The 16,395-nt window shown below is 37.8% G+C and overlaps 1 protein-coding gene across 26 annotated transcripts in view; it reads right to left on the bottom strand.

Moving 5' to 3' along the window:
• The window catches only part of AUTS2 (activator of transcription and developmental regulator AUTS2), a 1,195,032-nt gene that overhangs the window by 665,275 nt on the left and 513,362 nt on the right, over positions 1-16,395 (bottom strand). For all 26 annotated transcript variants that reach the window (XM_011516010.3, XM_011516013.3, XM_011516014.3 and 23 more), the window contains one exon: positions 9,999-10,100. In XM_011516010.3, coding sequence (XP_011514312.1) covers positions 9,999-10,100 — 102 coding nt within the window. The remainder of the gene's footprint in view (positions 1-9,998; positions 10,101-16,395) is intronic.

Genomic DNA, 16,395 nt, shown 5'->3' with positions numbered 1-16,395 from the left:
TGAAATACTGACATATCCAGGAGAATTCATAAATGTATGGGACAGGAATGGAAAAAGGCATAAGCAAACTGTTAAGGAAAAGGAAAATGTGGCACAGATTTTTTTAAAAAGAGAGGAATAAAACACCAAGAATCCTTGTCAGGTCGAGATTAGATTTCCTAATCTAATTATAACAATGTGGGAAGCTCATTCATGGTAGTGGCTCAAGTCTGTTTCCTCCTTAACAGTAGCTGGTCAAACAACCTGGCATGGAATAAAACCTCAATAAAGATTTCAAGAGAGGGAGGGAGGGAGGGAGAGAAGGAAGGGAGGAAGAAAGAAAGAATAGGACAGATGCTGGCATGGGTGGATGAACAGTGGCACTGTGGGATAGACAAATCAATAAAAACCCAAAGACCAGGGAAGATTTGAAGTAGGAGAAGGGGTATCTCAAAAGGAAGCAGAAAAAATGTCTCAACTGTAAATAGCTACCAGAATAATAAGAGTAGACAACTGTGTAGCATTAGACTCATAAGACTTTGATCCATTTTCATTATTTTCTGAGATGTTTCAATTCCTTGAACGATCTGAACCCTTGAAAGGTGTTAAATATTTTTCTGTCTTCTCATAACTAACAACCCAACCCAAAATTCTTTCAGAGAGAAAGGTGAAAAGAGTCATATTCATATAGTCATTAAATAAAGCATTAAAGAAGTTTACTTCCACAGTGTGTTGGGAAGTGTTTGGTAGAAGTGAGGTTGAAGCTGACATAAGGAAAAGAAAAACAAAGAAAGAAAAAAGAACAGAAATAAAATAGGCCAAGCGTGGAGGCTCATGTGTATAATCCCAGGGCTTTGGGAGGGGGCTGAGGAGGGTGGATTACCTGAGGCCAGGAGCTCGAGACCAGCCTGGCCAACATGGCGAAACCCCATTTCTACTAAAAATACAAAAATTAGCCAAGCATGGTAGCACTTGTGTATAATCCCAGCTACTCAGGAGGCCGGGGCACAAGAAAAGTTTGAACCCAGGAGGTCAAGGTTGCAGTGAGCTGTGATCATGCCACTGCAATTCATTTTAAATAAATAAAAAGAATAAGCAAAGGTAGGAAGATTTGAAAGTGCGAACAAGGCCAGGCGCAGTGTCTTATGCCTGTAATCCAGCACTTTGGAAGTCCGAGGAGGGTGGATTGCCTGAGGTCAGGAGTTCGAGAGCAGCCTGGCCAACATGGTAAAACCCCATCTCTACTAAAAATTCAAAAATTAGCCAGGCGTGGTGGTGTATGCCTGTAATCTCAGCTACTTGGGAGGCTGAGGCAGGAGAATTGCTTGAACCCAGGAGGTGGAGGTTGCAGTGAGCCGAGATCGCACCATTGCACTCCACTCCATTCCACTCCAGCCTGGGCGACACAGCAAGACTCCATCTTGGCGGGGAAGAAAGGTCACATTCTTTGCCTAAGGTCACACACAATAAATAGCAGAACTTCTATTAAATCTTGGCCTGTTTATAATAAATGCCCATTAACATTTCATAATTTGAGGCTTGTTTATTAAAAGTTTTTAAGTAAGTTTTGCTCCTAACTTTTGACAAATTTCCTCAGTTACAAAATTCTGTTTAAGTTGGAAGCAATATTTTCCCTGTGAATAACTCATCATAAACATTTATTAACTATATATTCAATTATTCCCCTTAACTCTTCCCTAGTGACTAATCTAAACAAGTTACTATGTCTCCTTGATGTGGACAATCTGAAAGTCCTTGTGGCCAATTATTCCCCCCAGGCAACATGGTCTGGGAATATATAATTTAGAAAAGCAAAGCATATTTGGGTTTTTCTTCTTTTTTTTAAGACAGAGTCTCACTCTGTCACCCAGGCTGGAGTGCAGTGGCACAATCTCGGCTCACTGCAACCTCTGCCTCCCAAGTTCAAGCTATTCTCCTGCCTCAGCCTCCCGAGTACCTGTGCTCCACCACGTCCAGCTAATTTATTTGTAGTTTTAGTAGAGACGGGGTTTCACCATGTTGGCCAGGCTGATCTCCAACTCCTGACCTCAAGTGATCTGCCTGCCTCGGCCTCCAAAAGTGCTGGGATTGCAGGCGTGAGCCACCATGCCTGGCCACATATTTGGTGTTTTTAAGCTTTACGCATGAGTCAAATTATACAGCTACACTGGAATTCTTTATTCTTATTCTTTTGGCCTAACCAATTCAAAAAAACAAAGCTAGAATAATATACTATTTTGATTAGCCTCACTTGAGAGTAAGTCTCAACTGCCAAAGCTCCTAAAAATATCACTAAAATGGGTGAAAGGCTGACAGAAATTTTCATCTTAGCTGAAAAACGAGTCAGGGGCATGATGGACTAATAGGGACTGAATGTATTCTCCCACCTCAAGCAACTAAAAAACTGGACAAAAGGTATGAAACAGGAGTTTTTAGAAATTGGGTAAGACAGAGTAAAGGACAATAATATTTGAGAGAAGAGAAAAAAGTAGGGTGACCCTTAAAATTTTCCCACCTTACTGCCTGGAGAGTTTTCATGCCACATGATTGCCGGGTAGGAGGTGACCCAGGTGGAATCCCTGAGTCTTGAAGACACAGTTGAGAATAAGGGGAGGCAAAGACAGCTGGAACTCCAAGGCAGAGGATAAGGAGGAGACAGCATCACAGAAAGCGAGAATCATGAAAGCTGCAGAAGGTTCCCCTCTAGTTTCTACCTGATGACTAGTCAGCACATCTGTGAGAGAAAATACCCAAGGCGAGGAAAACCACCACTGGGAAGGAGGAGGAAGAACTTACAAAGCCCACACAAGGCAGGGAATAGTTTGTTTTCCCACAATCTACAGTGGAAAAACCTTGTAAGACGTTAGGCATTAGGCAAAGTACTCAGTCAGAATGGGGGAAAAATTATCTTTAGACTAAAGGTTGTTCTGGTCTTGTCCAAGAAAGTACAAAAGCAAACATTAAAAACACACACACACACACACACACACACACACACACACACACATCTCCAAATAACAAAATTGTATCCCAAAATGAGTAATGTTTATAGAAACCAGAAATACCCAGTACCCAACAAGGAAAATTTTATAATGTCTGGCATTCAATAAAAAATTGCCAGGCATACAAAGAAGCAGGAAAATATGACCCATAGTGAGGAGAAAAAACAACCAATAGAAACAGGTCCAGAAATGGCACAGGTGACAAAATTAGTACACAAGGACAGTAAAAGCTGTAATAACTATTTTCCATATGTTCAATGAAGTGAAAGAAGAATAAGCATAATAAGAACTAATATGGAATTTTTAAAGAAAAAACAAAAACAAAAACCAGTAGTCATCTTTGACTCTACCTTTTCACTCTCTGATAGGCATTAAAGAAGACTGAAGCTGGGCTGGGCGCGGTGGCTCACGCCTGCAATCCTAGCACTTTGGGAGGCCAAGGCGGGCGGATCACGAGGTCAGGAGTTTGAGACCATCCTGGCCAACATGGTAAAACATCGTCTCTACTAAAAATACGAAAATTAGCTGGGCATGGTGGCACATGCCTGTAATCCCAGCTACTCGGGGGACTGAGGCAGAAGAATCACTTGAACCAGGGAGTCGGAGGTTGCAGTGAGCCAAGATCATGCCACTGCATTCCAACCTGGTGACGGAGCGAGACACCATCTCAGAAAAGAAAAAAAAAAAAAGATTGAAGCTGGACCCCTTCCTTACACCATATACAAAAACCAACTCAAGATGGATTAAAGACAAGTGTAAAACCCAGAACTATAAAAACCCTGGAAGACAACCTAGGCAGTACTATGCTGCACATAGGAAAGGGCAAAGATTTCATGACAAAGTCATCAAAAGCAATCACAACAAAGGGAACAATGGACAACTGGGATCTAATTAAACTTAAGCACTTCTGCACAGCAAAAGAAACTATCAACAGAGTAAACAGGCAACCTACAGAATGGGAGAAAAATATTTGCAAACTATGCATCTGACAAAGGTCTAATATCGAGCATCTATAAGGAGCTAAACAAATTTACAAGACAAAACCAAACAACTCCATTAAAAAGTGGGCAAAGAACATGAAGAGATACTTTTCAAAAGAAGACATATATGCAGCCAACAAGCCTATACAAAAAAAGCTCAATATCACTGATCATCAGAGAAATGCAAATCAAAAACCACAATGAGATATCATCTCACCAGTCAAATGGCTATTATTAATATTAAAATGTCAAAAAACAACAGATGCTGGCAAGGTGGCAGAGAAAAGGGAACAATTATAAACTATCGGTGGGAGTGTACATTAGTTCAACTATTCTGGAAAGCAATATGATGATTCCTCAAAAGCTAAAAGCATAACTACCATTTGACCCAGCAATCCCATTACTGGATATAAACCCAGAAGAATATAAATCATTCTACCATAACAACACATGCATGCAAATGTTCACTGCAGCACTACTCACAATAGCAAATACACGGGCTACACCTAAATGCCCATCAATGACAGATTGGATAAAGAAAATTTGGTATATGTAAACCACGAAATACTACATTGCCATAAAAATCAACAAGATCATGTCTTTTGCAGGAACATAGATAGTGCTGGAGGCTACTATCTTCAGCAAACTAATGTAGGAACAGAAAACCAAATACTGCATGTTTTTACTTATAAGTGGGAGCTAAATAATAAGAACTTATGAACACAGAGAGGGAAACAACAGACACTAGGGTCTGCTTGAGGGTGAAAGGTGGTAAGAGGGAGAGGAGTAGAAAAGATAACTATTGGGTACTACTGGGTGATGAAATAATTCTGGGTGATGAAATAATAACTATTGGGTACTACTGGGTGATGAAACTCATGTCACAACAAACCTCTGTGACATGAGTTTACCTATATTACAAACCTTCACATGTACCCCCAAAACTAAAATAAAAGTAAAAAAATAAATTAATTGTTAATTCTCTTTCAAGAAAAAATGGGGCATCTTTATTCTCTAAAATATTGTGCAGGTAGGTGTTGCTTTGGTATCCAAAAGATCCATTCTGTGGGTTGGTTTGTTAAAAGCTTTCATCTCGGCCGAACATGGTGGCTCACGCCTGTAATCCCAGCGCTTTGGAAGGCCAAGGTGGATGGATCACCTGAGGTCAGGAGTTTGAGACCAGCCTGGCCAACATGGTGAAGCCCATCTCTACTAAAAATATGAAAAATTAGCTGGGCGTGGTGGCAAGCGCCTGTAATCCCAGCTACTCAGGAGGCTGAGGCAGGAGAATCGCTTGAACCCAGGAGGTGGAGGCTGCAGTGAGCCAAGATTGTGCTGCTGCACTCCAGGCTGAGCAACAAGAGCGAAACTCCGTGTCACGGAAAAAAAAAAAAAAAAAAAAAAAGCTTTCATCTCAGCAGATTTCAGATTGCCATAGTGCTTGACACAGGACTCTGCAACCTCAGACCTGCACATGAGTGAGGGAAATGTGACTAGGGATCTCAAAACATTTCAGTAAATGTCCACGTTTTGGGTCATTTTTCTTTCTTTCCTTTTCAGTAATGTTGCAAAAAGTGTGAATTTTAATAATTAATGAACAATACGCCTACTATATGCCCACAAATTTTTTTCATAATTTTAAAATATAATAAACAATATGAATCGGAAGTGTTTCATTGACTGGCTTGACATAAGACTGACAGGATTTTATAATGTCTGGCATCCAATGAAAAACTGCCAGGCATACAAAGAAGCAGGAAAATATGACCCATAATGAAGAGAAAAAACAACCAATAGAAACAGGACCAGAAATGGCACAGGTGACACAATTAGTAGACAAGGCTGGTAAAAGTTATAACTATTTTCCATATTTTCAATGAAGTGAAAGCAGAATAAGCATTATTACAGCCCTAATTATTTTTACATTTTTTAACAGATCATTTTTTAATTGTGTAATTCAGTGGCATTAATTACATTCAAAACATTGAGCAACTGTCATGACTATCTATTTCCAAAACATTGTTATCATCCCCAAAAAGAAACTCTGTAACCAACAAGCAATAGCTTTCCTCCCTCCCACTCTCCATCCCCCAAATTCCTGGTAAGTTCTATTCTACTTTATGTCTCTATGAATTTGCCTATTCTAGATACCTCTTATAAGTGGAATCATACAATATTTGTCCTTCTTTGTCTTGCTTTTATTTAGCATATTTTTAAAGTTCATCCATATTGTAGTATATATTACAATGCCAATCTTTTTTATGGCTGAGTATATTCCATTGTGTGCCTATCAGCCAAGCTGTCACATTTTGTTTATCAATTCATTTGTTGAGAAACACATGGGTTGTTTCTACTTTTTGACTACCATAAATAATGCTGCAGTGAACACTGGCTTACAAGTCTCTGTTTAAGTTCATGTTTTCCATTCTTTGGGGTATATACCTAAAAGTGAAATTGCTGGGTCATATGGTAATTATATGTTTCAGCTTTTTGAGGACTGCCAAGCTGTTTTCTACAGTGGCTGCGTCATTTTACATTCCCACCAGTAATGTATGAATATTCCAACTTTTCCACATCCTTGCCAACACTTCTTATTTTTCATTCTCTTTTTAAAAGCATAACCATCCTACTAGGTATAAAATGATAATCTCGTTACAGTTTTAATTTGCATTTCTCTAATACCTAATGATTTTCAGCATTTTTCAAGTACCTCTTCTTTGTACTTCTTTGTAGAAATATTTCTCAAATTCTTTGCCCATTTTTGCTTTAGGTTATCTTTTTATTATTGAGTTGTAGTTCTTTACACATTCTGTAGAGTAAACACCACTTATATGATTTGCAAATCTTTTCCCCATTTTGTAGGCTGTCTTTTTACTTTCTTGATAATGCTCTTTGGTGTGAGAAGTTTTTAATTTTGATGAAGTCCAATTTATTTTCTCTTTCATTGTACATGCTTTTGGTGTCATATCTAATAAGCCACTGCCAAATTGAAGGTCATGAAGATTTACCTGTATATTTTCTTCTAAGAGTTTTATGGTGTTCACATTTATATTTTGGTCATTGATTCATTTTGAGTTTATTTTTGTACATAGTGCGATGTAGGAGTCCAATTTCATTCTTTTGCACATAGAAATCCAGTTCTCTCAACACCATCTGTTAAAGAGAAAATTCTTTCCCCATTGAAGTGTCTTGGCACTCTTGTTAAAACTCATTTAGGCATATAAGTATGGGCTCCCTTCTGGGCTCTCCATTCTACTCCATTGGTCTGTATGTCTAATATTAGGCCAGCACCATACTGTTTTGATTAACTGTAGCTTTGCAGTGAGTTTTGAGGTTGGTAAGTGTGAGTCCTCTAACTTTGCTCTTTTTCCAGACTGTGTTGGTTATTAAGGCCTTATGCCATTTCATATGTATTTGAGAATCTGCTTTTCCATTTTTGCAAAAAAAGATTGTTGGAATTATGATAGACATTGCACTGAATCTATAAATAGCTTAGGGTAGTACTGACATCTTAATAATACTGTCTTTCTATTCATGAATATGGAATGTCTTTTGTCAATTTCTTTTTATCTAACAGAAAGTGAGTTAGAGGAAACAAGCCAAAAGATCCAATGGCAGCTCTAGTCCCCTAAACTAACATGGCGTTCATTTCTCTACACTATGAAAAAAATATGACCTACTAACCCTGGAATAATTTCTAGAGTCAATGAGATCTTACATTAAAAGTATAACAAAAATCTCAGAAAAACAGCTATTTAAACATTAATTATTATTGCTAACAACTTAGATAAGAAAAGTTGTCATGGTTTTATGGTTGTATAGCTCCATCACAAAATTAATCAGACACATGGACACACAATAAAACATATTCTTACACACAGAAACACACACACAGTAAAATACTGTTAGTACTCTTTATTTATATAACTTTGATATTATATCACAGAAGAAGGGGAGGTTATTATCTATAACTAATATATTAAAATAACATAAAAATAATTATACTTTATTCCATTTAATTCCTGTAAGAATACAGTATCTCATACAACATCTCATCATAAACCTCACAAACTTTCATGAGAGGTGCAGAAATGTGATTGTATCTCGGAATTGTCTACCTTGGCTGATGGAGAGATGGATGTGGTATTATCATAGAGAACTGCTCAGTGTGCTAGAGTGGTCTCCAACCGTTTATGTTAGTAGACATCTCTCAGTAAAAAAAAGTTTTGAGTATACACTCCTTAAATCCACGTATTTAAAAATTATAGACATCAATTATTCCCCGCTCGTTAAACTGAATACTAGTAAAGTTTAATTTCTTTTTTTAAGAAAAAAAGTACTAGTATTTTCTTTCTGGAACTCAATGAATCATCTTGCACTCTATAATGAACAGCACACTGCTTTAGAGTATGGTGTTTTTTAAAAATAAAATGGAGAAAATAAAAGATTTTGCTTCTTATTACATATCCTTTATTTATTCTTAATACTCAGACACTCTGAAGTGCTATCTCTTTTTTTTCATGGTGCTACTCTCTCACTTATTCTGTTAATGCTAGACCATCCTGGTCAACATGGAGAAACCCCATCTCTACTAAAAATACAAAAATTAAGCCAGGCGAGGTGGCTCACAGCTCTAATCCCAGCACTTTGGGAGGTTGAGGTGGCAGATCACGAAGTCAGGAGTTCAAGACCAGCCTGGCCAATATGGTGAAACCCCATCTCTATTGAAAATACAAAAATTAGCTGGGCGGGGTGGCACGCGCCTGTAATCCAGGCTACTCAGGAGGCTGAGGCAGGAGAATCGCTTGAACTCGGGAGGCGAAGGTTGCAGTGAGCTGAGATCAGGCCACTGCACTCCAGTCTGGTGACAGAGCAAGACTCAGTCTCAAAAAAAAAAAAAAAATCTCTTTACTTGATCCATTTCACAAAAGAATTTCCAAGTGTTGCTCTTGAGGTACAGATGAGTTAAGAATGCTGATATATGGCTGGGCGTGGTGGCTCACACCTACAATCCCAGCACTTTGGAAGGCCGAAGAAGGCAGATCACGAGGTAAAGAGATCAAGACAATCCTGGCCAACACGGTGAAACCCTGTCTCTACTAAAAACACAAAAATTAGCTGGGCATGGTGGCGTGCACCCGTAGTCCCACCTACTCAGAAGGATGAGGCAGGAGAATAGCTTGAACCTGGGAGGCAGAGGTTGCAGTGAGCCGAGATCGTGCCACTGCATTCCAGCCTGGCGACAGAGTGAGACTCCATCTCAAAAAAAAAAAAAAAAAATGCTGATATATGACATATGAGTAAAGAAGGTAAGAGAGTCCAAAGAGGGGTAGGTGGTTCTCAGAAGTAATAGAGGGGGAACCTGCCCTGTTGGTGGGCAGACTAGAGAACAATGAAAATCACATCTAGAGGGCAAACAGATATCTCAAGAGGTATGACGCATTCTCACAAGGTTTTCCTTCCAGAAATCCAACGGGAATTTATTTATTTATTTTGAGATGGGGTCTTGCTCTGTCACCCAGGCTGAGTACAGTGGCACAATATCGGCTCACCACAACCTCTGCCTTCTGGGTTCAGAGATTCTTCTGTCTCAGCTTCCCGAGTAGCTGGGATTACAGGCATGCACTGCCACGCCCAGCTAATTTTGTATTTTTAGTAGAGATAGGGTTTCTCCATGCTGGTCAGGCTGGTCTCAAACTTCCAACCTCAGGTGATCCACCTGCTTTAGCCTCCCAAAGTGCTGGGATTACAGGCGTGAGCCACCGTGCCCGGCCTTGTTGTTTCTAAGGTAACAAATAGTTCCTCCTACCTAATGATTTGTCAAAATACATTTTTGCTCAAACGACATTTTAGAATGACACCATAACTACAATGCTCAAATAAGTATACAAAGATAATGTGAACCGCAATGCTTGGGTAGACAAAAAGTTCTAAAGATGAGGGAAAGTTATGTAATTCAGACTTGAACCAATGGTGTGTGTGTGGCCTAGTGGTTTTCGTTAATTTTTTTTTTTTTTTTTTTTTTACTTAAACTTACATCACTGAGCCTTTCCCGAGAGCTGCTCCGGTGGAAGCCCTTGGATTCTCCACTGGCACTTTCACTGTCACTGTCCCTGCAGCTGTTCTGTCCTGGCTTGAGCTAAAGGCAAAAGAAAAGAGAAAAAAGGAAAAAGTTAGTGGTCTGCTTCTTAGTTCCTGTTTTTGATCCTTGTCAAGAGTGAACAGCCAGGCACGGTGGCTCACGCCTGTAATCCCAGCACTTTCGGAGGCAGAGGTAGGAGGATCACGAGGTTAGGAGTTTGAGACCAGCCTGACCAACGAGGTGGAAACCCCGTCTCTACTAAAAATGCAAAAATTAGCTGGGCATGGTGGCATGTGCCTGTAATCCCAGCTACTCAGGAGGCTGAGGCAGGAGAATCGCTTGAACCTGGGAGGCGGAGGTTGCAGCGAGCTGAGATTGCACCAGTGCACTCCAGACTGGGCGACAGCGTTAAGACTCCGTCTCACAAAAAAAAAAAAAAGAGTGAACAATTTAAGGTTCTGATCTTTAATATTCTTCTCAGTTTCTGAATACTGCCAGGCAAGCTGCCATAGAAAAAATACAGAGGGTAGAATAAGCAAAATATTCACCATGAAATGTCAATGTAGAGAACAGAGTGGGCAAGCCTTAAATAAACACCTAAAAAGCCAAACCTCAAGGTCCATAAATTAGAAAGCAGTCTTTCCATCAAATTTTTTCTTCTGTTCCACTGCAATTTTTTTTCAATAATGAAAAGACCAAAAATGTTGAATAAACTAAAGTGAGATTACACCAACTATGATTTCTTACCTTTTTTCTTCTGTCTTGTCTCAAAAAAAGAAACAAATCAGAGCAAAATAAAATAAAGTTTTCTTCTCCTAGGAAAAAATGATGAGATGCTGTGATGTTATCCTTCAAACACTGGGATGGCACCTAATGATCTTGTTAATTGAGATAACATCCTGGAGGTTTCTTACTACATATTTAAAAGAACCAATGAAGACCTACAGATTAAGTAAATTAAATCAGCACTTATTCAACAAATAATGTATTAAGTGCCACATATGGGCTAGAACTAAGTGCTGAAGATATGGTACTACACCAAAAAAAAAAACAAAAAAAAACAAAAAAAAACAAAAAAAAAAAACAAAAGTCATCTCATGAAGTTTACGTTCTAGTGGTTTCCACACATTTAACAAGCTCTGGTTTTCCATTAAAAATGAACAAATACATAAAATTGAAAACCATCAGTCTACATAAGACTAAGTCATAAATATATGGAGTACTAGTCTACAATATCATCACCAAACACATTTTCAGAAACACCAAGCAATGTAGTACTGGTTACAAGTCACAGCCCCTTGACAATGTTTCCAATATAACAAGAAAAAGGCAGTAAAAGATAAGCAAATACAACACCACAAGGAAATACATGTTCAATGAAACCAAAAAGTAGCCAGGGAGGTTCAGAGAAGTGATTTCTGAAGCCTTGGATTTTAAAAGTAGATTAAACTCATATGGCTGAGAGGACAGTGAAAGATACTCCATTGAGGAGAAAAGCAGAAAGCAAAGACAGAAAAAGCAACATGCTGGGAAATGATCAGCAGTTTCATTTGAAACAGAGTTCCTTTGGGGAGACAATAAGAAACATTAGAGCTGGGTGCATGAATGAAAACGTGGAAAATCTCAAACTAAACATAAGCTCCATTTTTCTAGACAGGAGGAAACTTCAAAGAATAGAAGAGGCAATAAGTAGGAAATTTTTGCCTGCAGGATTTCAAGTGGCTATGGTGCCTAGGGGAAGATGAAACCAAGATGAATAGAGTGAGGCTGAATCAACATTCCTTGTAGTCTTTAAAGACTACAGTTCAGACCTCACTTTTGGTTATACCATTCACAGAGTCAGCTTTCCCCAAGTCTCCAAAACAAGGCATTCTTTTTTGCTATCATCCTTTCCAGAAATTCACCTTTATCACTTTCTTCTAAAATCCCTTTCTCCGGGAAGCCTTCTGCAAAGGAGCCCAGAAAATTGATGCTAATTTTACTTTGTATCCTTCCTGAGCTCTTAAGTACTTAGTTTTCTCCTCAGTCAACGCTAAAGCTCCTCATTCTAAGTTAATTCAGATGCAAGTTGTATGAGGCTTTTGTTATTACTATGGAATAAAAGCTCAGAATATTGTCATTCTCTTCGATTTTTCACTTTTATATTGATAATAAAGGAGAGATTTAATCTACAATGAACATCGCCTTGTCTCCATTCCCTGAACGTTTCTTGTCCATTCCTGCTCTGCATTTTTTTCACACCATATTCCCTCTGGAATGTTCACCCTTACCTTCTCTGTGCTTCTGATGTCAAGATGTTTTTTAAAGCTCAGATCTTACCTCCTCTGTTATGGTCTTTGAAGAGCTCTTTCTTTCTATTATTTATTTTTTAAATTATGACACATTTTTCAAGCTCAAAAAGCCTATTGTTATAACATAGTTATACTGATAATAAAGTTTGCATGTGGCATGGGCCCTCCAATTCATAAGCAGTATCAAACTCTTATCCCACTGATTCTGAGTTAAGTAAGGGCAGGTAGAACTACCTCCAAGGTATGGATGAAAAAACTAATTCTCAGTGCACAGTTAGATGTTTACATTTGACATGAAGTAATGATTCTGCAGCATATTAGTACTCTCCACATAATATGTTCTAAATTTGTATGTGGTACCTGACTATAGTACGTTCACAAAGAAAATAATCTTGTTAGGTGATATTTGATCAACACCTTTATGGCTGAGCACAGTGGCTCATGCCTATAATCCCAGCACTGTGGGAGGCTGAAGCGGGGGGATCACCTGAGCCCAGGAGTTCGAGACCAGCCCAGAAAACATAACAAGACCCCGTCTCTATTTAAAAAACTAATAATAAAAACTCAGTTCCCAACTTAGATGAGAGATACATATCCAGCTGGGAACTAAGACTATAAAGAGTGTCAAGGCTTTTCCTAATATCCAACTGGCTTAACAAAACCTGGACATTGCACCTGGGCCTTTTCCATGCTTCTTCACGGAAGGAAAATGATGACTTTACCAAGGCACAAAAACAGACTTCAGTGGACCTGACGTAAATTATCTGACTAAATGTTGATCTAGGCTAAGGGCAAAACCCAAGAAGGACTGAGAGGAAGCAGCCTGCTAGCCTTCCCAGTGCCCTGCCAGCAAAAAACACTTCAGTGAATTCTCTTCAGAGAGCCTTACATAAAATCCACCCCTACACCACCCCCTTCTCCTCCAAAGCCAGGCTCAAGTTTAAAGGAAACTTAGGATTTTAAGCTGTCAGACAGCTCAATATTTCAAAGAAATGAACTGACTACAGTAAGTACTAAAGCTAAACCACAAGATTTCAGGCAAAGAAGTATTCATTTCCAATCCCATGAATATATTTTCTTTCTTTTTTTTTTTTCTGAGACGGAGTTTTGCTCTTGTTGCCCAGGCTGGAGTGCAATGGTGCCATCTCTGCTCACCGCAACCTCCGCCTCCCCGGTTCAAGCGATTCTCCTGCCTCAGCCTCCTGAGTAGCTGGGATTACAGGCATGACAGGCATGTGCCACCACGCCCAGCTGATTTTGTATTTTTAGTACAGATGGGGTTTCTCCATGTTGGTCAGGTTGGTTTCAAACCCCCAACCTCAGGTGATCTGCCCACCTCGGCCTCCCAAAGTGCTGGGATTACAGGTGTGAGTCACCACGCCCAGCTGAATATAGTTTCAAACTAGCATTTTAGCCACATCCAATGGATCGTTTGGGGTAGCATAACTAACTCAGAAGTTGTAATCCTTCACCTGAAATTCCCAGCTATTACCTACAACCAAGAAACATCACAAAGGCCAGATGCTGGCTTAAACATTTAAAGAGCTAAGAAAAATTGATCTGCTTGCATTGATTTGTATGAGCATCCATGGCAGCTATTACAAGAAAGCTTTTCCTATAACTGATACAGTAAGATTTCTTACCATCAGCCTTTACATACTTCAGGACCTTGTTTATTTAAAAATTACTATAACCCACTCTCTGTTGTGAGAAGCTTCTTCCCATTAGAGTATTATATATTCAATAGTTTGGGCACCAGAATGAGAACAAAATATGCAAAATGAAAGCCAGCTGGTATCTGGCATGAGTGGCAGTAATTCTATCAATGAGATTAACATCTTTTATAAAATATAAGAAGCTAGTTTGTTTTTCATTAGATTTCACTGTCAACAATATATGCTCCAAATTCTGAAATTGTGATCCCATTACAGTGTTAACTGTTATTAATGGCTAATTAGGAAAATAACGATCCACAGTTATGTCACTGCTAATGAACATGTAACGAAGTCCCATCACCCTAGACTGCATGAAGGTATAGCAATTCTGTGCACATCTGCTTGGCATTTGTGAGCTGGGCTATCCCATTCTTTTCAGCTTGGATATGGAGAGTTTCAAAAAGATGCTACTTGCCCAGTAGGTGTCATTAATCCATCAAACAAAATTTACAGAAGGATAAATTATGTGGAGAATATATCTATGCCTGGAATTTGAGAGGAATGATGCGAATTATGCAGGCAATGTAGAAGACTGTCCAAATGGAATCTCCTTCCACAAATTTGATTCCTCAAAGTAGCACATATCCTTTTTCAGACTGCTGAGTTTTTCTGTAGGAATGTAAATGAACTCTATGCAAAATTTGGGGAATGTTTCAGTAAGCTCAAAAGATTCTCCTTTTTCAAGAAAATTTTAATATACCCATAGACTACACTACCATCAAAGCAGCCAAGTATTTAATCTTGAAAAATACTATTTTTATTTTTCAAGATAAAATTGTCCCCAAATTGGGAAAGTATCATGGATTGGATAGAATTTGTACTATTTTATTCTTTAAGTTTTAAAGCGTATTTCAGATGACAGGTACATGAACCAAACTAAAAAACTTAATGAAAAATGCTGATGAATCGAAATAAGCAAACACAAAATAACTACAATAAGTAAAATTATAAAGTTGGATAGAAAAACTATTTTTTAAAAAAGAAAACTATATTGTATCTTTAAGTGTACAGTGCCAAGTTGTGAATAAAAGCTAAAATTATTTTAACAAATTTTGGACACAAGGGCAGGGCAAGGAATTTTTCTGGGATCACAGAATCAAAGGTTCTTTTGTTATCATCTACAACAGCTAGAGAAAGTGTTTTAAATAACAATTTGATAATCTTGAAGCTAACCATTAGTAAAATTTAAACGTTAAAAATATTTGCCTTCCAAATAATTACCAAATATAAAATGACTCAAATCATAATAGAGAAAGGGAAAGAAAATAAGAAAAGTGGCAAGAAAGCAAAGTGTAAAACAAAGTGTTCTGATAATAATATAAATACATTAAGCTCCCATTTAAAAATAAAAATCTGGTTTGTGTTGGGTAAGACAGAGAGATGGATAGATATACAGATCAATCAACAGATTGATGTCCCATTATTTATTAGTTACAAAGAACTCCTAAATTTAAAAAAAGAGAGAGGGAAAAAGACAAAAGGTTAGAAATAAATAGGTAAAAAAATCACCTGTCAAAGTCATTTTATAGTGATGAAAGGTACAGTCTTTACCTTTTATACCCTTCTAAGTTATAAACCATTATACAAAACTATACAAAGTAAAAAATATTCTAAATAATAAAAGAAAGCAAAAGAAGGTGGGAGCCTTTAGCATTCTACTAATCAAGGAACAAGAAAACAAAACAATGAAAAAGGACGCAGAGGTTAAAAAATGAAGTTTGACTTAGTTAATATACAGTAAATTGGGTAACTTAAAGAGACACACCTAGAGGATCTATGGGACATTACCACCAACTGAAAATGTACCAGGGTAACAAAGAATATAAGAATAAATTTCAAAATGTAAAAATTATATGAACAGACTTCTCTATGATAAAAAGTAATAACAGTATTTTATGTTGAATATCCATATCACCTAAAGAATTTTTTTAAAGTCTGTCTACAATTAACAACTGGGTAAAAGACAAAATCACACATACAACATTTAAAAATTAAGAAAATGAAAATTATAAATATATAAATTTTAAAACTTATGTTGTAAAATCTTTGCTAGAAGTTAACTCATGGACTTAATGTATTTTCTATTAAATGTGAAAGAATAGAAATAAATGGCCTAATTATAAAGATTGAAATGAACAAAAAAGAAATAAGACAAAAAGGCAAGTATAGGTAAAATCAGAGGAAGAGAATTCTAAAAATGAGAAGAACATCATTAGAAATTAAAATATTGTACAGTTAGTAAACTATAGTATAATCTGGGGGGAACCCATAAAGATATGAGATACACCTCTAACACATTTAAGTATAAAAGAGATGGCAAGCAAAATAAAAAACAGATAAATTTCT

The sequence above is a fragment of the Homo sapiens genome, chromosome 7 (genome assembly GCF_000001405.40).
Source record: "Homo sapiens chromosome 7, GRCh38.p14 Primary Assembly".
In the NCBI taxonomy this organism is placed as follows: domain Eukaryota; kingdom Metazoa; phylum Chordata; class Mammalia; order Primates; family Hominidae; genus Homo; species Homo sapiens.
The sequence above is the reverse complement of the archived record's forward strand: the minus strand, read 5'-3'. Positions and strand labels throughout refer to the sequence as shown.